This window comes from Homo sapiens, chromosome 10, assembly GCF_000001405.40.
Source record: "Homo sapiens chromosome 10, GRCh38.p14 Primary Assembly".
In the NCBI taxonomy this organism is placed as follows: Eukaryota; Metazoa; Chordata; class Mammalia; order Primates; family Hominidae; genus Homo; species Homo sapiens.
The window spans coordinates 126,941,257-126,968,290 of NC_000010.11; the positions used below are offsets into that span (position 1 = coordinate 126,941,257).

General features: G+C 46.8%; 1 protein-coding gene across 24 annotated transcripts in view; it reads left to right on the forward strand.

The window, feature by feature from the left end:
- Positions 1–27,034, forward strand: part of DOCK1 (dedicator of cytokinesis 1) — a 547,089-nt gene that overhangs the window by 35,829 nt on the left and 484,226 nt on the right. For 4 of the 24 annotated variants that reach the window (XM_017015814.2, XM_047424700.1, XM_017015817.1 and 1 more), the window contains exon 1: positions 8,073–8,199. The exons of 17 other annotated variants lie outside the window; for them this stretch is intronic. In XM_017015814.2, the coding sequence (XP_016871303.1) occupies positions 8,088–8,199 (112 nt within the window). In that variant the 5' untranslated portion in view covers positions 8,073–8,087. Of the gene's footprint in view, positions 1–7,641; positions 8,200–13,367; positions 13,411–27,034 lie in introns of those variants that run through there. 3 more of the 24 variants (XM_017015813.3, XM_011539422.4, XM_011539424.2) reach the window with 3 other exon arrangements.

Consider the following 27,034-nt stretch of genomic DNA (forward strand, 5'->3'; position numbering starts at 1 on the left):
ATGTATCCTGTGGTTATGAGAGGAGATGCTATACTGTGTAAAGAAACCTCTAAAAACCAGTTTAAAAAGATTGTTTTATGGATAGATTGCATTACCTAAATTCTGATGAAATATTTCATTTCATGGTGCTAGTTTTAACTTTAGTCTTTTAAAACACAAAAGTAAAACCAATCCAACAACAAAAACATCTTCAAAACCGCAGTTAAACAGCATCTGTGGGCCGGGCACAGTGGCTCATGCCTGTAATCCCAGCACTGTGGGAGGCCAAGGCGGGCGGATCACGAGGTCAGGAGATCGAGACCATCCTGGCTAACACGGTGAAACCCTGTCTCTACTAAAAGTACAAAAAATTAGCCAGGCGTGGTGGCGGGTGCCTGTAGTCCCGCTACTCGGGAGGCTGAGGCAGGAGAATGGCGTGAACCCGGGAGGCGGAGCTTGCAGTGAGCCGAGATCGTGCCACTGCACTCCAGCCTGGGCGACAGTGCGAGACTCCATCTCAAAACAGACAAAACAAAACAAAACAAAACAAAAAAAACAGCATTTGTGGATTGTACCTGTCTGAGTAGTGTATAATCACCTTTCCTAGACAACTTTGCCTTTCTCAGCCCGCCTTTGCAGGTGAGGTGCTCAGACTTAAAAGTCCCATGGGAAGATAATTTTGCCAATTATTCTCTTTTAAGCTGCTTTGTTTAAAGGATTCTAAAGTCACATCATGAGGAGGGGAGAGCCAAGAGGGTGTCGGATGTGTGTTGTCACTCTGATATTTGCTCTTTTTCTTTTTTTTTTGAGACGGAGTCTCGCTCTGTCGCCCAGGCTGGAGTGCAGTGGCACGATCTCGGCTCACTGCAAGCTCTGCCTCCCGGTTTCACACCATTCTCCTGCCTCAGCCTCCCGAGTAGCGGGACTACAGGCGCCCGCCACCACGCCCGGCTAATTTTTTGTACTTTTAGTAGAGACAGGGTTTCACCATGTTAGCCAGGATGGTCTCGATCTCCTGACCTCGTGATTCACCTGCCTCGGCCTCCCGAAGTGCTGGGATTATAGGTGTGAGCCACCGCGCCCAGCCGATATTTGCTCATTTTCTGAGTGTTTTGTGAGTCCTGAGGAATGAGCTCAAGGAGGAGATGGGTTCATTCCTTCTTCTAGGTTTCTTTTCGAGTGGGGTGAAGCTCACTTTTAGTTTCAGGTGGAAGCTGTGCACTGGATTCATTTGGGAGCAGGTTGGCAGGTAGAACAGTAGAATAAATCGTGAAGACCTACAAGCGTTAGAATGCGAGAGGAATGGATGGAGCTGCTCCTTCCTTCTGATTTGCAGGAAGTTTCCTTAATGGAACGAGCCAGCCCCGAGGGAGCCGAGCCAGCCCCGAGGGAGCCGTCATCTGGGACCCTGGGATCTGCGATGCAGCAGAGTTCCATTATCCCGTTTATTTTTACTGTAAATACACTCAATGTTACACAAATTCATTAAAAGATAAGCATGATCTGTCCTGTTGGGAAGCTTCTAATGGAAAGTAGGGGATAGCTGATGATTCCTCTGGATGGGCGTTTATTTGCAAGATGTTTCTTTCCAGAAAATGCTTAACTAGATTACATGTTTCATGACCTCAGTATAAATTCTTTTAGTTTTCCTGACCTTTTGTGATTTTAGTTACTATCCTAAAATATATTGATTTCTTTTTCTTGTTCATCTAGAAATGATCATTAAAAACAAACAAATAGGCCGGACGTGGTGGCTCACGCCTGTAATCTCAGCACTTTGGGAGGCTGAGGCTGGTGAATCATTTGAGGTCAGGAGTTCAAGACCAGCCTGGCCAACATGGTGAAATCCTATCTCTACCAAAAAAAAAAAAAGCCAGATATGTTGGTGTGTGCCTGTAATCCCAGCTACACTGAGGCAGAGGCAGGAGAATCATTTGAACGTGGGAGGCGGAGACTGCAGTGAGCAGAGATTGTGCCACTGCACTCCAGCCTGGGTGACAGAGAGAGACTCCATCTCAAAAAATAAAAACAAACAAATGAAAGGTTTAAGACCTTCTTTGAACCTGACTGCCTTACTTTCTTTGGCAAGCTAATTTTTCTGAGGTCAAGAGAGTAGGTGCTGGAACCAAACTGCTTGGGATCAGATCCTAGACCTAGCACTGGTTGACCTGAGGCAAGTTAATCTCTGTGTGCAGCCTTTCTGTTAAATGGGAGTAGTAATAGTGGTTGTAGCATAAGATTGAGGTTAAACGAGTAAGTGTATGTAAGCACCTACTGAATGCTATTTAAGTTAATGCAATCATTCAGTGGATTTCGGCTAAATTCATGCATTCAGTAAATATTTACCCTGTGCCTGCAAAATGACTGCTGTGTGCTTGGCCCTGGGATACAATAGGGACTGAAGTAGATATGGGGGATTGGCAAGTAAGTAGGCAGCCACAAGACAGCTGTGAATGGTAGGAGGGAGAAAGGACTACCAAGGGAGGCTTCCTGGAAGAAGCGGCTTTTTAAATAGGTGCTTTGAAGAGATTAGATATGAGTTAATGAGATGAAGAGGGGTAGGAAGGAGTAGCATCAGTTTAGCTGAGGGCCCTGAGGTGCAAGAGTGCACAGACCACTGAAGTTCAGTCTGGGTGAGTCGAGGCGAGGCTGGGTGCCAAGCAGGGTCGTCCCAAGCTGTCTGGAGGAATTTGGACTTAATGCTCAGAGCAGTGGCTGGTGATTGAAAGGTTCAGAGTGGATGATTCTTGAAGGGTCCAGAGCTATATCAGATTTTGTTGCAGGAAGAGTTCATGGGCAGTGGTTTGAAGAACGGGAAGGAGAGGAGACAGGTGATGGGGAGGCATGGCAGCCGTGCAGGGGAGGTGATGGGGCCTGAGTGGGGTTGATGGTGGTGGGGGTGGGGAGGAGCCAGTGGGTTTGAGAATATTAGGAGGATAAGGAGTGCCATGTCCTGACTGATTGGTTGTAGACGAGGGGAGGGAAGTGTCTAGGCCTGGATGCAGGGGCTGCTGGTCTCCGGTGGTCCTGGAGAAGGATGAACTCAGGGTACAGTTCTTCCCCAGCACTGGGCACAGGGTGCAGGGCTGTGCCCGTGGTAGACAGTAGGAAATGCTTGCTGCAGGAAGCCCTCAGCACGCAGAGCCATGTGTGGTCTCTGAACCTTGCAAGCGGACCTGCCGAGGCAGCTGTTGGGTGGCTGGAGCAGTTTACGCAGTTGGGAGTCAGCACGAAGATGCGTATGGAAGCCTCCAGAGATGACCTGTGTGGGAGGGTTTGGAAAGTGAGGAGAAGCTGAGGAGCTGGAGTCCCAAAGAACAACTGCGCAAAGGACTGAGATGGAGGAGACCGGGGAGCGGAGGCCCAGGGAGGACACCAAGCCTGAGGAGGAAGTGACTGGGAAGGAAAAGAAGGAAGAGTGTCATTGCTAGGGTGCCCTCGGCTCTGCAGGGCACGTATCAGTGGCGAGGTGGATTGGGGCTCGTGTGGGCAATGTCGCCACAGAGACTTGGCTGCAAAAAGACAAGAGAGCTCTCAGTAAGAAGCTGGAGAGGGTGTTATCAACAGCTGTGTAACAGATCACACCAAAACCTAGGAGCTGAAAACAATGTTTTTGTTTTTGAGACTGATCCTCTCTCTGTCACCCAGGCTGGAGTGCAGTGGCAGAGTCTGGGCTCACTGCAGCCTCTGTCTCCCGGGTTCAAACGATTCTCCTGCCTCGGCCTCCTGAGTAGCTGGGATTACAGGCGTGCACCACCATACCTGGCTAATTTTTGTATTTTTAGTAGAGACGGGGTTTCACTATGTCAGTCAAGCTGGTCTCCAACTCCTGACTTTGTGATCCGCCTGCCTCGGCCTCCCAAAGTGCTGGGATTACAGGTGTGAGCCACCGTGCCTGGCCAGAAAACGTTTTTTATCCAGTTTCTGTGTGGCTTAGCTGGGCCCCCAGCTCAGGCCCTCTGAAGGGCTGTATTTAAGGTGTCCACGGGGGACAGAGTCATTTCAGGGTCTTACTGGAGGAGAATCAGCTTCTGAGCTCACATGGTGGTGTTGGCAGGATTCACTTTCTTGGTGGCTGTTGGCAGAGGGTACTTGCATTTCCTTCCCACGTGGGCCTCTCCATAGGGGCAGCTCATGTAGGGCTGGTTTTGTCACAGCAGGTGAGTGGGAGGCAGAGGGTGCAGCGGAGAGGGGGAGAGGGAAAGAGGGGAGAAGGGGAAAGAGAGAGAGAGAGAGGGAGAGAGAGAGAGAGAGTGCACACAAGGCAGAAGTCAGAGCCCTTTTGTAACTGAATCATGGAAGTGACAGCCCATCACTGGCAGTATTTTATTGGCTAGAAGTGAGTCACTAGGTCCAGCCCATACTCAACGGGATCATTTTTATGGATTTTCTTTTAGGAAATGAATGGAGTGAGTCAAATACTCTTTACCTGTGGACATGCTCAGCTGTGCATCTGGTTTTGCTGCCACCGGCCTCTTTTTCCAGTCCCAAGAAACACGTGTTCATGAATCCACTTGGGTGCAGGTGCACATACTGTATGGCTGGCGGTCGTGAGCAGTTTCTTCGAAGTTTCTGGCACTTTGCTGATGCAGGCAGTTCAGTGTCGGAGTGGCCAAGAGCAGGGGGTTTTGGGCACACCTCTGCCGTGCATCTCATGATTGCCGCAGTGCTTTATTGAGCGTAACAACTTGGAATGCTCAGGTGTGGTTTGCGGCATTCACTTGCTGATGAACGTTCATAGGCAGAGACGCTCTGGACTCTTTTTAAACAGCTTTCTCGAGCAGTTACTCACATACCATGCAGGGTATCCACTGTAAAAGTCTGCCATTCAGTGGTTTTTGGCATATTACATTAATTTTTTAAATTTATGGGAAAAATATATATAACATAGAATTTTCCCCTTTAACCCTTTAAAAATGCACATTTCATTGGCATTAAATACATCTACAGTGTTGTGCTACTCATTCTCTGTTTCCAAGACTTTCACCGTCCCAGACAGAAACTTTGTATCCGTTAAAAGCTAATTCTTGGCCAGACACGGTAGCTCATGCCTGTATTCCTAGCACTTTGGGAGGCCGAGGTGGGTGGATCACTTGAGGTCAGGAGTTCAAGACCAGCCTGGCCAACATGGTGAAACCCCATTTCTACTAAAAATACAAAAATTAGCTGGATGTGGTGGCGGGCACCTGTAATCCCAGCTACTTGGGAGGCTGAGGCAGGAGAATCGCTTGACCCGGAAGGCGGAGGTTGCAGTGAGCTGAGATCGCAGCACTACACTCCAGTCTGGGCAACAGAGCGAGACTTCATCTAAAAAAAGAAAAAGCTAACTTTCCATTCCCTGTCCCCTCAGCCTCCGTTAACTTCTAATCTATTATATTTTCTGTCTCTGAATTTGACTACTCTAGGAGCCACATAGGAACGGAATTGCACAGTATTTGTCCTTTTGTGCCTGGCTAATTTCGCAGAGCACAGTATCTTCCGGGTTCATCCATGTCACAGCACACGTCAACACTTCCTTGCTCTGAAGAATATTTCACTGTATGCATTAGCCACATTTTGTTTAATTTGTTCATCTCTTGATGGACACTTGTGACATGGTTTCTTCCCAGCATTTGACTGTTGTGAACAACTTGTCCACTCTTTGCTGGAGGAAGTGCGTTAGTGCCCATCTCACGGTCACAGCGGACAGGCTCACTTCTTGGATCAGACGCTCATTGTGAAGCAGATCAATGCAGTGAGAATGCAGGTCTGATCCTGTCCCCCCATCCCTGGCCCATGACTGGGGAGAGATGCGGTCCAAGGACTGGTACCTGGAGGCTTGGCAGCAGCATGCCCTCCTTCCTCCTGCTCTTTGCCTCAGTCTTTGCGTGCAGAAATGGGATTGCTGTTAGCCCTATTTCATAGGGTTGATATGGGATGATGTGGTATTCCATGGTGTTTCTGGTCTTTCTCAGGGCAGAATAAAGTTTACCTCTGCCATGATGATGGTGGTGCTGGTAATGTGGTTGATGATGGTGGTGGTTGGTAGTACTACTGTTGGTGGTGATGGTGGTGGTTGGTAGTATTACTGTTGGTGGTGATGGTGGTGGTTGGTAGTATTACTGTTGGTGATGGTGGTGGTTGGTAGTATTACTGTTGGTGGTGATGGTGGTAGTTGGTAGTATTACTGTTGGTGGTGATGGTGGTGGTTGGTAGTATTACTGTTGGTGGTGGTGGTGGTGGTTGGTAGTATTACTGTTGGTGGTGATGGTGGTGGTTGGTAGTATTACTGTTGGTGGTGGTGGTGGTTGGTAGTATTACTGTTGGTGGTGATGGTGGTGGTTGGTAGTATTACTGTTGGTGGTGGTGGTGGTGGTTGGTAGTATTACTGTTGGTGATGGTGGTGGTTGGTAGTATTACTGTTGGTGGTGGTGGTGGTGGTTGGTAGTATTACTGTTGGTGGTGATGGTGGTTGGTAGTATTACTGTTGGTGGTGATGGTGGTGGTTGGTAGTATTACTGTTGGTGGTGATGGTGGTGGTTGGTAGTATTACTGTTGGTGGTGATGGTGGTGGTTGGTAGTATTACTGTTGGTGGTGGTGGTGGTGGTTGGTAGTATTACTGTTGTTGGTGATGGTGGTGGTTGGTAGTATTACTGTTGGTGGTGATGGTGGTGGTTGGTAGTATTACTGTTGGTGATGGTGGTGGTTGGTAGTATTACTGTTGGTGGTGGTGGTGGTGGTTGGTAGTATTACTGTTGGTGGTGGTGGTGGTGGTTGGTAGTATTACTGTTGGTGGTGGTGGTGGTGGTTGGTAGTATTACTGTTGGTGGTGATGGTGGTGGTTGGTAGTATTACTGTTGGTGGTGATGGTGGTGGTTGGTAGTATTACTGTTGGTGGTGATGGTGGTGGTTGGTAGTATTACTGTTGGTGGTGATGGTGGTGGTTGGTAGTATTACTGTTGGTGGTGATGGTGGTTGGTAGTATTACTGTTGGTGGTGATGGTGGTGGTTGGTAGTATTACTGTTGGTGGTGATGGTGGTGGTTGGTAGTATTACTGTTGGTGGTGATGGTGGTGGTTGGTAGTATTACTGTTGGTGGTGATGGTGGTGGTTGGTAGTATTACTGTTGGTGGTGATGGTGGTGGTTGGTAGTATTACTGTTGGTGGTGATGGTGGTGGTTGGTAGTATTACTGTTGGTGGTGATGGTGGTGGTGGTGGTAATACTGCTGGTGGTGATTGTGTTGGTAGTACTGATGTTGCTGGTGAGGGTGATGAAGGTGGTAATACTGTCCAGCCGGGCCTTTTGAGGGCATCTGGATGAACCTCTTTTTTACGTGGGGTGGGGTCGGGATAGGCACCCTGAAACAGGGCCCTCAAAATGCTCCAGGCCACAGATGGAGAAGGAAAGTTTCCCGATGTGGGGTTGCAGGGTCAGGTATGCTGAGCCAGAGGCACTGCTTCCCAGGAATCCTCACCTCTCGGAGCCTGTGATGCGGGCGCCCAGCTGTGCAGCTGCCATCCAGCCTGGATCCCAAGCTTCCCCTCCCTGGAATCATTGTGAGCTGCTCTGATCCTTTGGGCTGGATTTTCCATCCTCTCCCTCAAAGGGAACCTTGCCCCCTATGCCTTTCCTGAGGTTGGGGATATGTGTGCTGGGCCTGGCCCAGGGTAGTACTGGGGTTGCGTGAGAAGGCAGGTCTGGAGCTGGTTGTATGCCTGGGCCCCGCAAGCTGGGCTTTCAGAATCCCTTTCAGTGGCCCGGGCCCACCCCCTGGACCCTGTTCCCTTTGTAACTGAGCTTTCGTCTTTGCTTTGGTTCCCTGGCCACCCTTCGGGATCCTGGCCTCCCCTTTCTGGGAGTGGTGCACGTTCTGCTGGGGGGAGGTGCATCCTGCCCTTGCTGCCTGCCTGGCACTCTGGGTTCCCCTCTGCACTTGTTTGCTGATCCATCTCCATTGATTCCCGAAGGTGTTTATTGAAGGTGACCTGGGTTGGGGGACATGGGGTTAACACACCCAGCTCCTGCTCTCCTGCAGCCCTCTCCCTGTGGGGAATGGGGAGCCGCAGGACAGCCCCTAAGCTGTCTAGTGCCTCTGGGGATTCCAGGAAGGCACTTCTTGGTTGGACATGTTGCTTGACAAGTGCAACCCAGGCAGGATTTCGGCTCCCACGTGTCCCTTCAGCCCTGAGCCTTTGGCAGTGAACACACCTACCAACTATACATGGCAGTCCAAAGTGGGTAGGTGTGTGAGGGAGGGTTGGTCCTATGATGAGACCCATTCTTGTGAATTCCTTTTTCCCAGGGCATCAGTACATCCCCTGCTTAATTTCAGAGCAGCAAGGGCAGAGCTGGGACATGGTTGGATCTCTCTGTGATGAGAGCATCGGGTGTTGAATGTCCTTTCTGTGCTATAACTATAAATTCATGTTAGACAGCAAAATGTAGGCGTTTGACTGATGCAGGAAGGATCTGGAGGGGAAAAGTATTACTCAAGAATATTTCACCTAAAAAGGACTTTGTGACAAGGTTTGCTTGTGACAGTCCTTGTATGATATTGGGTGATATTTCTTGTGACTTTTGTTTTGACATGTCTCTGGCTGGTTTTATGAGGGCTATTTGGGGAGCACCAAAGGGAGAGTGGCCAGAGAGGCAAAGCTCTGTCTGGCTCTCGATGGGAGGGCTGTGCTTTTTTAGAGTGTGGAGCCGCGTGTTATGCAGCATGCAGTGTTGTGGCTAGGGACAGAAGCTGGGTCAGAAACATTAGCCCCCCAAAGCAGGTTTCTCCCACCTTCTAGACCTGCGTCTTTGAGGAGCCATCTAACATCCTCTCTAAGCCTCATTTTTTTTTTCCATTTGTGAAATGGGAATGAGTAGTAATCCCTCCCTTGTAAAGTTTTTGTGATAATGAAATTAGATAAATTAGGTAGTCCACGAGAAGCAGTCAGTGGCTGTTCCATGGTAAGGGGCTAATAGCTCTCATTACAGCTTTTCCTAGTTGTGTTATTTGGAGAGCAGGTTCCTAATTCGAGTTCGCCACAGCTTATCTGTGTCATGTCTTGTCTCCTCTTTGGGTGGCAGTTCTTACCTGGGATCTTGGGTGGTAAATATTGGTTTGTTGGTCTGGATTGACTGGATGATTGGAGGTCTGGTCTGTGCTTGCCTGCAGGGTCAGCTTAGCCTAGCTGTGACATGTAAAGGCTCTCTCTCCTTTAGACTGGGGTTCCATTCATGGGATTAATGGAATTGTTATTTCATCTTGTCTCAAGGGCTTTCTGGAATAAGGGCAATGGGGCCTTTGACAGTGCCCAGAATTGTCACTGTCCCTTTGAAGCAAAGGGAAATCGGTTGCAGAGAGAGGGACTCTGCAGCCTTTGTTGTGGACGCAGCAGTACAGTTACTCTTTGTTTGGGATGTGCTGGGAGTGCTGTTCTCAGAGCAAGGCCACATGATGCCTGGAGGTGGGGCGGCAGCATGCCCTCCTTCCTCCTGCTCTTTGCCTCAGAGTCTTTGTGTGCAGAAATGGGGTTTTTGTTAGCCCCACTTCATAGGGTTAATATGGGATGATGTGAGGAAATGCGTCAAGTGTTCGTTGGAGTTTCTGGTCTTTCCCAGGGCAGAATGAAGTTTAACTCTACCATGATGATGGTGGTACTGGTGATAGCGGTGGTGCTGGTGATGTTGGTGATGTTATTGTTGATGATGGTGGTTGGTAGTATTGCTGTTGGCGGTGATGGTGGTGGTGGTAACATTGCTGGCGGTGATTGTGTTGGTAGTATTGATGTTGGTGGGGGTGGTGAAGGTGGTAGTATTGTTGGTAGTAGTAGTATTGGTGATGGTGGTGGTAGTATTGTTTTTGGTAGTGTTTTTAGTATTGATGATAGTGGTGGTAGTGTTGTTGGTAGTATTGTTGGTAGTGTTAGCATGGTTGTTGGTGGTAGTATTACTGGTAGTAGTGTTGGTGATAGTGGTGATGGTGGTAGTATTGGTAGTGGTGGTGGTAATATTGGTGATGGTGGTAGTATTGTTGGTAATATTAGTGATAGTGGTGGTGGTAGTATTGTTGGTAGTATTGGTAGTGTTAGTAGTGGTAGTATTGTTGGTAGTATTGTTGGTGATAGTGGTGATGGTAGTATTGTTGATAGTATTGGTAGTGGTGGTGGTAGTATTGGTGATGGTAGTAGTATTGCTAATATTAGTGATAGTGGTGGTGGTAGTATTGTTGGTAGTGTTGGTAGTATTGGTAGTAGTGGTAGTATTCGTAGTATTGTTGGTGATAGTGGTGATGGTGGTAATGTTGTTTTTGTTGGTATTATTGCTGTTGGTAGTATTGTTGGTGATGTGTTGGTGGTGATTGTGGTGGTGGTAGTATTGTTGGTAGTGTTTTTGGTAGTGTTGGTGGTGGTATTGTTGGTGGTAGTATTGTTGTTTGTAGTATTGGTGACAATGGTAGTAGTAGTAAGTATTGTTGTTGGTATTACTAGTATTGAGGCAGAAGAATAGAGCCTGGAGGCAGAAGACCTAAGGACTTCCTAGAACTAAATCAAATGGAAACACGCTGTGACAGGAAATAATCTCTTCATTTACATTGGGTGTACACTGAGTAAATGACTATGTAACTTTACTTCAGCCTCTTCATTTTTTTTTTTTTTGAGATGGAGTTTCACTATTGTCACCCAGGCTGGAGTGCAGTGGTGCGATCTCGGCTCACTGCAACCTCCGCCTCCTGGGTTCAAGCGATTTTCCTGCCTCGGACTCCTGAGTAGCTGGGACTACAGATGTGTACCACCAGGCCCAGCTAATTTTTGTATTCTTAGTAGAGATGGGATTTCACCATGTTGGCCAGGATGGTATCAATTTCTTGACCTTGTGATCCGCCCACCTCGGCCTCCCAGAGGGGTGGGATTACAGGCATGAGCTACCATGCCTGGCCAGCCTCTTCGTTTATATAGGGTGTACACCAAGTAACCAATGGTGGTGGTAGTATTGTTGGTGATACGGTAGTATTGTTATTGTTGGTAGTGTTGTAGGTGATGGTGATGGTAATAGCATTGTTATTGTTCATAGTATTGTAGGTGATGGTGGTGGTGGCAGTAGTATTGTTATTGTTGGTTGTATTGTTGGTGATGGTGGTGGTAATATTGTTACTGTTGGTAGTATTGTTGGTAGTGTTGGTGATGTGGCGGTAGTATTGTTGGTAGTGTTGGTGATGTTATTCTTGGTAGTATTGTTGGTGATGGTGGTGGTGGTAGTATTGGTGGTAGTATTGTTGGTGATGTATTATTGGTAGTGTTGGTGTTGTTATTCTTGGTAGTACGGTTGGTGATGGTGGTGGTAGTATTGGTGGTAGTGTTGTTGGTGATGTAGTATTGTTGGTACTGTTGGTGATGTTATTCTTGGTAGTATTGTTGGTGATGTAGTATTGTTGGTAGTGTTGGTGATGTTGTTATTGGTAGTATTGTTGTTGTTGGTAGTATTGTTGGTGATGTGGTAGTATTGTTGGTAGTGTTGGTGATGTTGTTATTGGTAGTATTGGTGGTAGTATTGTTGGTGATGTGGTAGTATTGTTGGTAGTGTTGGTGATGTTATTCTTGGTAGTATTGTTGGTGATGGTGGTGGTGGTAGTGTTGGTAGTATTGTTGGTGATGTGGTAGTATTGTTATTGTTGGTAGTATTGTAGGTGATGGTGGTGGTGATAGTATTGTTATTGTTGGTAGTATTGTTGGTGATGGTAGTGGTAGTATTTTTTGTTGGTGGTATTGTTGGTAGTATAGTTAGTGATGTAGTGTTGGTGGTGGTAGTATTGTTGGTGCTGCTGGTGGTGGTAGTATTTTTGGTAGTGGTGGTAGTATTTTTGGTAGTGGTGGTAGTATTTTGGTGATGGTTGTGAAGTATTGGTGATGGTGGTGGTGGAAGTATTGGTAGTAATTTTCGTAGTGTTGGTGGTGGTGGTATTGTTATTGGCAGCGATGGCAGTGGAGGTGGTAGTGGTGGTAGTACTGTTGGTAGTATTTTTAGTAGTGTTGGTAGTGGTGGTATTGGTGATGGTGGTGGTGGTAGTGTTGTGGTGTGGTGTGGTGGTAGTGGTGATGGCAGTGGAGGTGGTAGTGGTGGTAGTATTGTCAGTGATGGTGGTTGTGGTAGTATTGTTGGTAGTATTTTTCATAGTGTTGGTAGTGGTGGTATTGGTGATGGTGGTGGTGGTAGTATTGTTATCGGTGGTGATGGCGGTGGAGGTGGTGATGGCAGTGGAGGTGGTAGTGGTAGCAATATTATTGATAGCAGTTTTGGTAATGTTGGTGGTGGTAGTACTGCTGATGGTGGTGGTGGTGGTAGTATTGTTAATCAGTGGTGATGGCAGGGGAGGTGCTGGTGTTAGTACACTGTCATCAGTGGAGCTCCCATTTTTCAGCTGAATGCCTTCGTGGCATAGGCCTCCTGGGAATGAGTGTGGGTAGAACGTCCCTCATTTGTGGTTGAGATTTTTCCCTGGAGCTGTGTTGGTGGGGGAAGCCTTGTTCCACGTGTGTTGGGGTTAGAGGGTGTGTGGCTGCTCAGTGGTCAGCTTTGATGTCACCTGAAACATGTTACAGGTGAGTCAGGTGGAGCATTGGGGAACTGCAGGGAGAGGAGTGTTTTCTGATGTCAGAGCCGATGGAGCTTTAAAAGCTAAAAATGAAACAAACAGAAAATGTGGAGAGATGTTCAGTAGTTTGCTCGGTACATTTTTAAAACTTCCGAGTGGTCCTGTGTGTTGGGTGTCATGGTGGACACACTGTCGTGGGCGCTTTCTGGGCAAAGTCTCCCCTGCCTGCCCTTTATCCTTGTGTGCTTTCGTCCTGCCCAGCAGCACCTCTGTAAGCAAGCAAACAGGGTTTTATAGCCTCTTGCTGAGTATTTCTCATCTCTTGCTAAGTATTTCTACTGTGGTGCAAAAGCAATCTTATTATGTGTTGCTGTATTTTTATAGTCAATTGAAATGACTATTAAAATATAACATTGCTCATCAGGCTCAGAGCAGCACTGCTGGAGAGGCCTGCCCTTGCAGATGAGGCAGCTGAGTCCTGGAAAGAGAGGCCTTCTTGGGAATCACAGCCGATGCAGGGGCCTGAGGCCTGGGCTGCTATGTAGGACCCTCCACAACCTCAGAACAGTCCTGGGCTCTGCTGTCACATCTTGAAATGTTTTTTCTATTTTCTTTATTGTGGCAAGATATATATAACCTAAAATTTCCCATTTGAACCATTTTTAGGTGTACAGTTCAGTGGCGTTAAACACACTGACGTTGTTGGGCAACCATCACCACCATCCATTGCCAGAACTCTTTTCTTCTTCCTGAAGACAGACTCTGTTCCTATTAAACACTAACTCCCATTCCCTCCTCCTCCCAGCCCCTGGCAGCCGCCGTGCTATTTTCTGTCTCTATGCAAGTGACTACTCTAAGAACTTCGTGTAAGTAGGATCACACGCTTCTGTCCTTTTGTGACTGGCTTATTTCACTCAGCACAATGTCCTCAAGGTTCATCCACATTGTAGCATGTGTCAGAATTTCCTTTTTTAGGTGTGGGTAGTATTTCATTATATGTACATACCACGTTTTATCCATTCATCTGTTGATAGACATTTGGGTTGCTTCTGCCTTTTAGCTATTGTGAATAATGCTGCTGTGAACCTTGGTGTACAAGTTTCTGTTCAAGTCCCCGCTTTCAGTTATGTTGGTATTGCCTGATCATATAGTAGTTGTATATTTAACTTTTGAGGAACTGCCAAACGGTTTTTCCGCGGCTGCACCATTTTACATTCCTGTGACCAGTGCACAAGGGTTTCTGCTGCTTCAGATCCTTACCAACATTTGTTATTTATTTAAATAATAGCCATCCTAATCATCTCCAAATGTATCACAGTTTTTGTTTTTTGTTTCTTTTTTCTTGAGATGGAGTCTTGCTCTGTTGCCCAGGCTAGAGTCAGTGGTGCATTCTCAGCTCACTGCAACCTCTGCCTCCCAGGTTCAAGTGATTCTTGTGCCTCAGCCTCCCAAGTAGCTGGGATTATGGGCATGCACCATCATGTTCGGCTAAATTTTGTCCTTTTTGTAGAGAAGGGGTTTCACTATGTTGGCCAGGCTGGTCTCAAACTTCTGGCCTCCAATGATCCGCTCACCTTGGCCTCCCAAAGGGCTGGGATTACAGGCGTGAGCCAGTAATTTATCATAATTTTTGAACAAAGGCCTTTACATTTTCATTTTGCCTTGGGCCGTGAACATTTTGTAGCCAGTCCTGCTGGGAACTGATGCAGCCTGGGTGTTCTGTGGAGCCCCGCCCATGTTCGGGGCACAAGGGTTTGGCCAGGTGTCAGTTTAAGCTGCTGGGGAAGACAGGCTGGCGCTGTCTGGGGTTAAAGGTGGTTCCCAGAAGGCCCAGATCTGGGGCAGAGTAGCTCTGTGTGCAGTGAGCTGGCAGGCAGGAGGGATGGCTGTCTTGGCTTCCGCTGTTTTATTTAGTGCCTTACCTAGAATCTGTATTCCTGCCGAGTGGTCACGTTGCACAGGGGCTGTGAGCAGTTCAGTGGCTCACTCTGTGAAGGGCGGCTTACCACACACTTTTTGGGTGCTCTCTAGGGAAGGAAAATTTATCAAGCAGTTAACTAAGGAAAGATTCGTTTGTGTCCTCTGGGAACTGACACTGCACACTAGCTGGCTCAAATAGTGGTGTTGAGGGTAGCCTTTGGGTGAGACCTGTCCATATGCCTGTTAAAACAGATGACAAAGGCAGGCAGCCCAGGTCTGGTCAAGTCGGGAGCCTTGGCTCCCTCCTCCAAGGCTGTGCTGGGATGGACTCTCTGCCACTGTTCAGTTTCGGTCTGCAAGTATGGAAATGCCCGCGTCTCTGCAGCCGGCGCATCTGGGCCAGGCCCAGGCTGCCACTGTGCAGTTGCTGATCTGCCTGGGAACAAGAGGGCTATGTCTGGGCCGCCTGTGCCTCAGAAGAGCTCATCAGCAGTCAGCATCTGAGGTGTGCAAACACATCTGAGCAGACTTCTCCCTCCAGAGCTCTGCCCCGTTGGGACTTCTGGAAGCCTGAGATTTCACCAGCAGAAGGTCCTGTGTGTCCTGACCTTTAGGATCTGAGAGTGACTTCGTACCTTCTTGTGCTAAGGCCTACAGCCTACGAGCATCTACCCTCTGTCTAGTTAGAAGTGACTGTACCAGGTCCTGGTGCAGCTGAGTGAGTGGGAGGAGAGGGGCTCAGGAGGGGAGCACAGGAACAGGAGCTGGGCCCGGCTGAGCTGCTCAGTGGGAAGATGGCAAGACACTGCAGATCCTTGCTCCCCGCCCACGTGCCTTGCTGGGAGAGAAAAGCAGCTCCTCAGCTCGCACTGGGGCCGTCTTAAAATCTAAGCAAATGTTTATTGTGCACATGTAGGGTGGCCCCGGCTGGATGGACCTTCATATGCAGGAGCTAATACACACTCACCAGGGACCCCTTTGCTGTCATCCTCCCATTTCATGGAGGGAGAAACTGAGCTTCACAGAGTTTGTGTTGCTTGTCAGGGCACAGAACAGGGGTTTGGGACCGAGTCCATGTCTTGATTCCAGAGGCTGAGTGCTTGGCTCAGAGGGAGGGAGTGGCCAGGCTGGTCTGCAGAGTTCCAGAGATTTTGCCTGAGCAGTGGGGGGCCACCAGCCTTGAAAATGGGCATTCTCTCTAGGGTCCTAGAGGAGGCTCAGGCCAGAGCCCACAGGGAGGAGGCAAAGTGCTTTGTCACCTGAGAAGCCCCCACATTGGAGGGAACATGGGCTCTCCCTGGGCACAGGCTGCACCCGACGGGGGAAAGCGGGGAAGGGGTCTCTGCAAGGGGGTCCTCTCCAGCAGCCTGTGCCAACAGGCACTAGGCTTTATTGTTTTCCTCACAGAGGGCTCGATTGGTTTTTAATCTTCAATTTTACTTTTTTATCAAAGCTAAATAATGTAACAACGACAGAGGAGGAATTTCAAGCAACTACAAAGAAACCAAATATTTTTTGGCGAGTCCCTGGCGTGGCTGCCTTTCCCTGTCTTCTCCCTCCTGGTTGCAGTATGGACAGAGGTGTCACCCTTCAGGCTTGGGGACGGCACTGGGCTGCTGGCTCACCTGAAGATGCCTTTGGCATGTGCAACTTCTCCAAAAGTGCAAACGCCTCCCATCAAAGTGGAAATTCCATGGGCCAAAAACAGATTCACAAAACAGTTCACGCTGGAATGTTCAATCCAGCCTTATTTATTTATTTATCTTCGTTTTTATTTTTTTCAGAGCCAGAGTATCACTCTGTCACCCAGGCTTGACTGCAGTGGCACGGTCATAGCTCACTGCAGCCCTCAACTCCTGGGCTCAAGTGATCCTGCCTCAGCCTCCCAAGTAGCTGGGACTGCAGGTGCCCACCATCATGCCTAGCTAATATATTTCGTTGTAGATACGGAGTCTTCCCATGTTGCTCAGGCTGGTTTCGATCTCATGGGCTCAAGTGATTCTCCCACTTCAGCTTTCCAAAGTGCTGGTTTTACAGGTGTGAGCCACTGTGCCTGACTGCAGCCTTATTTATAATAACTCAAACCTGGAAACAAATAACTCAAATGTCCATCAACAGGAGAATGGATAGACACATTGTGATGTGTTGATATGATGGAATACTATTCAACAATAGAAAATAACAAACTACTGATACAACACCATTCATGTGGCTCAAAATGTTGAGCAGAAGAAGTCAGACATAAAGGAGCACATAGGATTCCGTGTATTTGAAGTTTAAGCATTGACCGTTATTTATGACTTATCTATGGTAATAAAAATTAGAAAATGGTGTTTTGGGAGAAAAATCTCCTAGAGAGGGGCTTGAGGGTACTTTCTGGATCTCTTCCTATCTTGGGTGTACACGGCGTATAGAATTATATAAAAGTCACTGAGCTGATCACCTAAAGACTGTGTGTTTTATTATACCACTAACATACATGTGAGTGTATACATGTAGATGGATGTGAGCATATTTATGTCTGTATATATGCCCATTTGTTACATGGCTCATGGTGTTGAACTTTTTTCTGTAGTTAGAGATATTGGATGTCATGGTCCACGGTCTTTGTGTAATACGCAGGAATGTTGCTGCTTTGGCTCCGTAATTTTAAACTCACAGGGTTTGTTGGGGCTTCAGAAGCCAGCCATACAGAGGGTAGGTTGACAGGGAAGTCACAGCTCATGGAGACCAGAGCAGGGACTCTGTTTTGGCATTTTGGCACAATGGGTATTCCCACATCTGTACAGAAGGTGATCGAGAGGTGATGATGTCTTGATTTACAGGACCGGAGGCTGGGTATTCTGGAGCCGTTGGTGGGGTCAGGGCTCTGTTAGGTAAAGCAGGTAGGTTTTCTCTAGAAGGCTGAGTCCTTTGGGCACCTGGGTATTAGTATACTAGAATATGTGCCACAGGGCTCTATGACACCTTCCTGATTCTAGTGGGTTGGGGACCTATGAGGAATCTTCTTCATTCTGAGGGAGGCGCTGCTTAGTTCTTGCTGTTTCACTCCGCTCAGATGTGTTCAGGGGAGGGTCACTGCTGAGTGTTTTTGTGTCAAAAAGAGTCGAACTCTGTGAAATATTTGAAGAGATTTATTCTGAGCCAAATATGAGTGACCATGGCCCGTGACACAGCCCTCAGGAGGTCCTGAGAACATGTGCCCCAGGCGGTCGGGGTGCAGCTTGATTTTATACATTTTAGAGACGCATGAGACATCAATCAAATACATGAAGAAATACATTGGTTTGGTCCAGAAAGGCGGGACATTCCAAAGCAGGGGCTTCCAGGCTGTAGGTGAATTTAAACATTTTCTGGTTGACAATTGGTTGAGTTTGTCTAAAGAACTGGGATAGATAGAAAGGGAAAGTTCAAGTTAAGATAAAGATTGTGGAGACCAATGTTCTTTTGAAGTCTTACAGTGGGTGCCCTTAGAGACAATAGGTGACAAATGTTTCCTATTCAGATCTTAATCTTTTTAGGGTCTGGAATAAAAAGATCTAGCTATGTTAATAGAGATTCTTTACAGATACAAGTTTTCCCCCACAAAACAGCTTTGCAGGGCCATTTTAAAATATGGCAAAGAAACATGTTTTGGGGTAAAATATTTTGATTTTCTTCTTTGTCTCATAATGTTATGCCAGAGTCAGGTTGGAAAGTAAATCACGATATATAGGGTTATATAAAACCCATCTGATGAGAATTTATGATTTGTGGGGCATGACTTCCCAGACCCCTTAGACACGAATTTGGACTAGATAAAAAAAATCAGAGTTTAGCCCACACATGGAAGGGGAGACCCTCTGACGTGCCAGGCTGCATCTTCCCCAGGTGGGCCCTGGATCAGAGCCAGCGTGACCTCCTCAGTCTTTGCTGCTGCTTACAGCTCCTTGAGGGTGTGTATAGCTGCCCTGGGGAGGATCGTTAGCACCATTTGTTCAAGTGAAATAGAGTGTGCTTTGTTTCTGGACATAGGGGTTGGATCTCCAGGACATGCCTACCTGGTTAGACTGTTGGAAGTTGTCTTTGCTAGTCAAGATCCTGGTCTGCTCTTTAGTTTCTTTCTTTTTTTTTTGAGTCGGAGTTTTGCTCTTGTTGCCCAGACTGGAGTGCAATGGTGCAATCTCGGCTCACTGCAACCCCCGCCTCCCGGGTTTCTCCTGCCTCAGCTTCCAGAATAGCTGGGATTACAGGCATGCGCCACCATGCCCGGCTAATTTGTATTTGTAGTAGAGATGGGGTTTCACCATGTTGGTCAGGCTGGTCTCGAACTCCTGACCTCAGGTGATCCGCCCGCTTGGGGCTTACAGGCACGAGCCACCGCATTTATTTGCTTGAAGTAAGTACAAGCAAAGCCGCAGTGGTTTCCAGTGGGTTTAACATTCAGGTAATAGTTTTACTGCCTTGACTTCCTCTATTTATTTATTAAGTGATTCACTCAGTGAGCATTTGTGGCACTCCAGGTGCCAGGCACTGTTAGGCATGGCTGCTGAGATGGAGAAGATGCAGGTGTGAGGTACAGAGAGGTCAAGGGGTCACCAGCCATGTGGTATTGTAGTGGGGGCATGGCACAGGAGGCTAGAGGAGGGGTCCTCAGTGGTGGCTGCACTTGAGAAGCCTTTATTGGGCACCTGCTATGTGACAGGCACGGACAGCAGTGAGCAGTCGCCTGGCGGTATATTGTCGGGATGTGCAAGGCTGCTGTTGAGCGCTCACATGAGGCCTCTGACTGTCGTGGGGGAGTGGCAGGGAAGGGTTTCATCCAGAGGTGATGGGGACCTGGAGAGCCAAGCTGGGGAGAGGTAGGGCTGTGGACCAAGGCCTGAAGTTGGAGGGCGCATGGGGACTCTGGTTTGGTTTGGCAAGAACTCATCTGTTTATATTTGCATAATGACAAAGCCTCTTCTGGGATGATTGGATGATTGCTGGCTTTATTTGTGAATTATAAACAGACCTACCCTCAAATATATATATATATATATATATACACACACACACACACAGACACATATATACGTATATATGTGTATATACACACACACACACACACATAGATATATACGTGTGTATATCTATACGTATAGATATATACATGTAGATATGAACCCAATAGAAAAAAAAAAAGAAATAAGATAGTTGCTGCTAGTTGTGGATAAGGCATACAGAGATATTTTATTCCGAAGAAAGATATTAAAATGTCTTTTACTGTGTCTATCAGTTCAGTTAGAATGTGAGGAAAGGCTCTTTTGTATATTTCTTTTCACATTCTTATCTTCACCATCCCTCCCACCTGTTTCCAACCAAAAGCCAAAAAGAAATATTGAATAACAAATGATGGTTCCTCTGTCTCACCAGGCCCAGCTAGCTCTGTTTCCTTAATTAGGTAGATGACTCCTTGATTCTGTTACCCAAACATTGCATGAAATACTGCCTCAGGGGATTCTACTGGCAGAGCCACAATCTTTCTGTTCCTAAGAAAGATATGAACCCAAAAGGAGTGACTTGGTGACTTTGAAAGTGGTGTCCTTTTTAGAAATGTGGGGTGGGGCCAGGCGCGGTGGCTCACACCTGTAATCCCAGCACTTTGGGAGGCTGAGGCGGGCGGATCACTTGAGGTCAGGAGTTGGAGACCAGCCTGGCCAACATAGAGAAGCGCTGTCTCTACTAAAAATACAACTCTGTCTTCCCCAGTGAAACTCAGCACCCATTAAACACTAACTCACTCCTTCGTCCTCCCAGCCTCTGGCAACCCCCTTTCTTACTTTCGTTTCTTACTTGTCTCTGAGTTTGACAACTCGAGGAAGAGGAACCTCATGTAAGTGGAATCGTACTGTATTTGTCTGTGACTGGCTTATTTCATGCAGCATAATATCTTCAGTGTCTTCAAGGTTCACCCGTGTTGTAATGTGTCAACATGTCCTTTCTTTTAAGGCCGATGGATATTCCACTGTATGTATGTGTAACATGTTGTTGAGTAATTTACCTGTTGATGGAAACTTGGGTTAGTTCCACTTTTTGGCTGTTGTGAATAATGCTGCTGTGAACATGGATGTGCAAATATCTATTCCAGACCTTGCTTCTGGTTCTCTTGGGTAGGTATCCAGAAGTGGAATTGCTGGATCTCATGGTAATTTGCTGCTTTCCACAGCAGCTACACCATTTTGGAGCCCACCAGTAACTTGCAGAGTTCCAGTTTCTTCGTGTCCTTACCAAGGTTGTTATTTTCTGTTTTGGTTTTTGCTTTTTTTATTTTTTTGAGACAGGGTCTCACTCTGTCACCCAGGCTGGGGTGCAGTGGTGCGCTCTCGGCTCACTGCAACCTCCGCCTCCCGGATTCAATCCATTCCCCTGCCTCAGTCTCCCAAGTAGCTGGGACTACAGGCATGTACCACCATGCCCGACTCTTTTTTTTTTTTTGAGATGGAGTTTCGCTCTTGTTGCCCAGGCTGGAGTGTAGTGGCACAATCTTGGCTCACTGCAACCTCCGCCTCCCCGGTTCGAACAATTCTCCTGCTTCAGCCTCCCAAGTAGCTGGAACTCCAGGCGCGTGCCGCCATGCCCGACTAATTTTGCATTTTTAGTAGAAATGGGGTTTCTCCATGTTGGTCAGGCTGATCTCTAACTCCTGACCTCAGGTGATCCACCCACCTTGGCCTCCCAAAGTGCTGGGATTACAGGTATGAACCACTGCACCCGGCCAGTTTTGGCATTTTTTTTAGTAGAGTTGGGATTTCACCATGTTGGCCAGGCTGGTCTCTAACTCCTGACCTCAAGTGATCCACCTGCCTCAGCCTCCCAAAGTGCTGGGATTACAGGCATGAACCATGGCGCCCAGCCCCCAGGAATTCTTTATATATTCTGGATACCATTCCCTTAACAGATAGGGGATTTGTAAATACTTTCTCCCCTTCTGTAGGTTGCCTTTTCTCTCTGTTAATAATATTCTTTAATGCACAAGAGTTTTTAATTTTGACGAAGTCTAACTTAGCTATCTTTTCTTTTGTTGCCTGTACTTTTGATATAATATCCAGTAAATCATTGCCAAATCCAGTGTCATGAAGTTGTTCCTCTGTGTTTTCTTCTAAGAATTTTATAGTTTTAGCTCTTATGTTTAGGTCTTTCATCCATTTTGAGTTAATTTTTGTGAATGATATAATAATCCAACTTCATTTTTTTTTGCAAGTGGATATCCAGTTTTCCCAGCACCATTTGTGGAAAAGACTGTCCTCTCCCCATTGAATAGTCTTGGCATCCTTGTTGAAATCATTTGACTTTCTATGTGAGGGTTTACTTTTGAGTTCTCTGTTCTATCCCATTTGTCTGTATATTTGTCTTTATGACAGTACTACACTGTTTTGATTACTGTAGCTTTGTAGTAGGTATTGAAATCGGGCCTCCAATTTTGTTTTTGTTTTTCAAGATTGTTTTGGCTAATCTGGGACCTTTGAGATGGGTTTTTCTATTTCTGTGGAAAGTGTCATTGGGATTTTGATAGGAGTTGCACTGAATCTGTAGATCGTTTCGGATCAGCATTGACATCTTAACAATATTAAGTCTCCCACTCCATGAACACAAATATTTTTCAGTTTGTTCATGTCTTTTATTTCTCTCAGCAACATTTCGTTAGTTTTAGTTTACAAGTCTGTACCTCCTTAAGATTATTCCCAAGTATGTTATTGCTTTTATTCAGTTCATCTTTAAAAAAATATTAGAGACAATACTTTTAATAACACCATTATAACCAGGCTCTAAGAAACTTCCTTCCCTCTCTTCCCTCCCTTCACTTCCGTCCTTTCGCTTCCCTCCTCTCCCTCTCCTTCCCTCCCTTCCCTTCCCTTCCCTTCCCTTCCCTTCCCTTCCCTTCCCTTCCCTTCCCTTCCCTCCTTCCTTCCTTCCTTCCTTCCTTCCTTCCTCCCTCCCTTCCTCCCTTCCTTCCTTCCAAGGCCTGCTGTGTGCCAGGTGTTTTTAGATGATTGCGAAAAATAAGATGCAGATTTTGTCCTTGAGAGGCTCACAGTCAAGTGGAAGAGGCACAGGTGATTAAATGGTGGCAGTGTGATACAGTAAGTGCTACCATTCAGGCTCATCTCTCTAGGAGGCTCTAATCCAGCCTAAGGCATTTGCCCCCAGACAAAAGCAGTGGAAGGATTTTACTACAGGTCGTAGAAGCTTGGTGATGGCGTGGCTGCCAGTTTGATTTTGAAGATAGAGTTTAGGAAACCCAGCCTCCAGCTCCAAGTGGGTGCCATCTAAAGCTGCCTGATGAATTTATCCTTTTATTTGTGGCTACTGGGATCACATTCTCGCTAGTAGTACAGTGGGTAATGTTGGGTACTGAGCCGTTTGCAACAATACAGTTGACTTGTTCTCCATCTTCACCAAGTTGCTATAAACGGCTGGTCTCTGCCCCAGGGTCAAGTTGAAAGGGTGTGTATAATGTTCTGTTTCTCTCTACATGGTGTTTCCTGAATGGCTCAGTGAAAGGTTGTTCCTTGGAGACCTAGCTTAGGCTGATTTCCTCTCTGGGGTTACATCTGGCTTATCTCCTCTCTCCAAGCCCAGCTCAGTGTGGACCAGCGCAGGGGCCTATGGAGGCTTAGGAAATGCAAGGTACCTGCATGGACCAGGCAAACGTGTAGGGTGTGTGAAGTTCGAGACCAGGCGGATGGCCCTAGGGTGAAACCCTGTAGGAGCACAGACAGGGAGGGCCCTGGCATTGGGCCGTGTGAGGACGTGGCCTTTGTTTTCCCCAGCCCTGAGAAGATGCATACCATTGAAAAGCGTTTCCAACTGAAGGCAAGAGAAAGGAAATGAGAACACAGAGCAATTAATTTTCACAAATTGACTTTAAAAGAATTAATTAACGTTTAAGTTGCTACTTGAAGTCTTGAAATCATGTTTCAGTGGTGTGTGAGACAGAGAGTGACTGAGCCGAGTTGATTTCAAGGAGTAACGTATGGCCACCCCTGGCCTTTGATGCTTTGGGGAGGCTATGGACCTGAGCACTGATGGCAGGTGGGCTATCTCCTTAGATCAAAAAGACCCACAGCAGAGCTGGCAAAGCTAATATTGTGTTTCTCTTTCTTACTGATTAAGTCTCAGCCTCTGTATCTTTTTGCAGAGGGCAAGAGCATTTTGAAGACGAACAAATGCTACAGCTTTTGCTTTTCCTCTTTCAGACTGCATGAGGAAGAGTACTTTGGGATCTGGTTAAATTCAGTGCATTTTTATTGAGTGCCTGCAAGGTATGGTTTTAGCTACTGTGGGAAATCCAATGATTAATAAATATTTACCTCCCTCAAGGAGTTTGTGTCTGATGGGAGAGACAGACTTACAGATGAGCAACTCTACAAGGTTGTGGGGTGGCACAGAGTGTACAGGGAGTTCAGAAGGAAGCCATTCATTTAGGTCTGCGTGTAACTTCTTCTTGGTAGGGGGAGAAATAATTCTGTTAGGGCCTGGAAAAGGCTGTGGAATTAAAGGCAGGCCTTGTAGACAAGTGGGGCAGTCGGAGGCGGAGGGAGGAAGGATTTTCAGCTGCAGAGGAGCGTGTGGCAGGCCTGGCAGGGCAGGTGGAGCCGAGGAGGGTGAGGGGGCTGAGATGAGATGGAAAGATGGGTTGTGTGCTGGAGAAATGAGCCATCATTCAGAATGCTCGGCGAAATGGTCCCAGACTTTGGAGTGAGAGTTCAGGAAGGTAACTGGTGATGGAGAGAAGGGAAGACAGTCTGTACATCTCACCGAGGGGTGATGAAGTCTTGGGCCAGGCAGTGTGGAGTGGTGAGATATCCTGGGAGGGAAGTCCCAGGATCCCAGGGCTGCCATCAGCTCACTGTGTACCTTGAGCCAGTCACAACGCCCCTGTAGACCTCTGTTTTCATCTGTGAAGTGGGCTGATGGGCTTACTATGTTTTTTCTCAAGTGAGAGTAGTCAAGTTGTTTTTTTTGCTTTTCCCTGAATGGGTGTTACATTTCATTAAATGTTTTCTCTGCATCAGTTGAGATGATATAATAATTGTATGTATTTATGGGGTACACCTTCATGTGGTACATATGAAGTATGGTGATCAGATTAGGGTAATTAGCATGTCTCTCATCTCAAATGTTTATCATTTCAGTATCTTCCTTCCAGCCATTTAAAACTGTATGGTATATTATGGTTAACTATAGTCATCCTAAGGAGCTATAGATCACTAGAACTTAATTCTCCTATCTAGCTGTAATTTCGTATCCTTTAGCAAATTTCTCCTGTCCCCACTTCCCCCCTACCCTTCTTAGGCTCTAGTATCCTCTGTTCTCCTTTTTACTTCTATAAGCTCAGTTTTTTTAGCTTCCACCTATGAGTGAGAACATGTGGTGTTTAACTTTCTGTTCCTATCATATTTCACTTAATGTCCTCCAATTCCATCCATGTTGTTGGGAATGACAAGATTCTATTTTTTTTAAATGGCTGAATTGTATTCCATTATGTATATATACCACATTTTTTTGTATCCCTTCATTTGTTGTTGGACGCCTATGTTGATTTTCTTTATTCATCTGTGTGGGACACCTAGGTTGACTGCGTATCTTGGGTATTATGAATAGTGCTGCAAGAACCTTGGGGTTGCAGATGTGTCTCTGATACACTGATTTCCTTTCCTTTGGATAAATGCCCAGTGGCGGGATTGCTGGGTCATGTGGTGGTTTTATTTGTAGTTTTTTTAAGGAACCTTCATATTGTTGTCTATAATGGCATATTCCCACCGAGTGTCTAACAGTTCTCTTATCTCTGCACCTCACTGGCATTTGTTATTTTTTTGTCTTCTTGATACTAACTATCCTAACTGGGGTGAGATAATACCTCATTGTGGTTTGGTTTGCATTTTCCTGGGCAGCTTTTTTATAGACAATCAGGAGACTGAACAGAGGTGATCGCAATACCTTTTTAGGTCTCTGATAAGGCACAGCTGCATGAGGCATGAGTGCAGCCTGTTAATTTTTTATTTTAGGGAAAAGATCCACTCACTGTAGGCTGTTTCACACTCTCCTAGAAAAAGAAAAAAACAAAAAACCAAAACATCATCCAAGCAAAGAACTTGGCGCTTGGTTTATCTCTGTCTCTTTTCCCACTTAACATCTCACACAATGTGTCTAGCTTCTACGCTGGAGTCTGCTGTCCAGGGTTGAGAAATTCATGTGGACCTGAAGATGCTCATTGGCAGCCAGGCCATTATAAAATGAAGATGGACTCGACCAGGGAGAATGTAGTAGGCATTCAGCCCACCACCCAGAGGGAGGCTGGTGCTACCCTTGCCAGGATGTGAATGGGACGCCATGAGCTTGTTCTCTATGGAGTTGTTCCCAGACCCTAACAGATCAGAAAATTGAAGCAAAACTGAGCGATCAGCAAAAAGGCCACCATCTTTGTAGTACGTCATATGTCAGGTGACAACATCTTAGATGCCATTTGTCATCCTCATCCTTCTTAAAGGAGACAAGAAGTCGTTGCCCTCAACCCCTAAGAAGGGGCAACTGTGAAAGGCCAAATAATCAGAATAAAGGATAGCCTCTCACATTACATACTTTTGGATTCATTTAAAAAAATTCCCTACATGGTTCTTGTTTTTCTCATGTCACTCAAGAATTGGGAACCACAGCCCTGGACTTGTCTGGGTTTAGGTGCCTGCAGTGGAGACCCCAGTTCCAGAGTCAATCAGTGAACCACAAAGTACCACTTTCAAATTGCTTTTCACACACCTCCTTGTACTAATTTCCTATTGCTGCTGTGACGAATTGCCACAAACTCGGGCTAAGATACGAGATTCAGCGTCCTAAAGTGTAGGTGTCAGTGGCCCATGCTCCCACGGGGCTGTGGGGGAGTCTGCGCTTCCTCACCGCTTCCAGCTTCCAGAGGCCACTGTGTTCCTCGGCTTGTTTTGCCTCTTTCTTGCATCTCTTTGACCTCCTCTGCTTCTGACTCTGACCCTCCCGTCTTCCTCTTATAAGGACCTTTGTGATTACATTGGGCCCACCTGGATTGATCCAGGATTAACGCTCATCTCAAGATCCTAATTTTTTCTTTTTGTTTTTGAGACGGAGTCTCGCTCTGTTGCCCAGGCTGGAGTGCAGTGGTGCGATCACGGCTCATTGCAACCTCTGCCTCCTGGGTTCAAGCGATTCTCTTGCCTCAGCCTCCCGAGTAGCTGGGATTACAGGTGCGCACCACCACGCCCGGCTATTTTTCTTGTAATTTTAGTAGAGACGGGGTTTTGCCTTGATAGCTAGGCTGGTCTCGAACTCCTGGCCTCAAGTGATCTGCCTGCCTCAGCCTCCCAAAAGTAATCCCCCCAAAGTGTTGAGATTACAGGCATGAGCTGCCACACCCGGCCAAGATGCTGAATTTCATCACCCTCGCAGTGCCCCTGTGGCCGTGAAAGCTTTTGGAGTCGTCTTTGGAGGGCTGTTACTCTATCTGCATCCTTCCGCTCCTCTCTCCTACTCCCTTGTCAAATACCCTTGCAAGGCTGGCTTTTAATTTGTCTTCATATA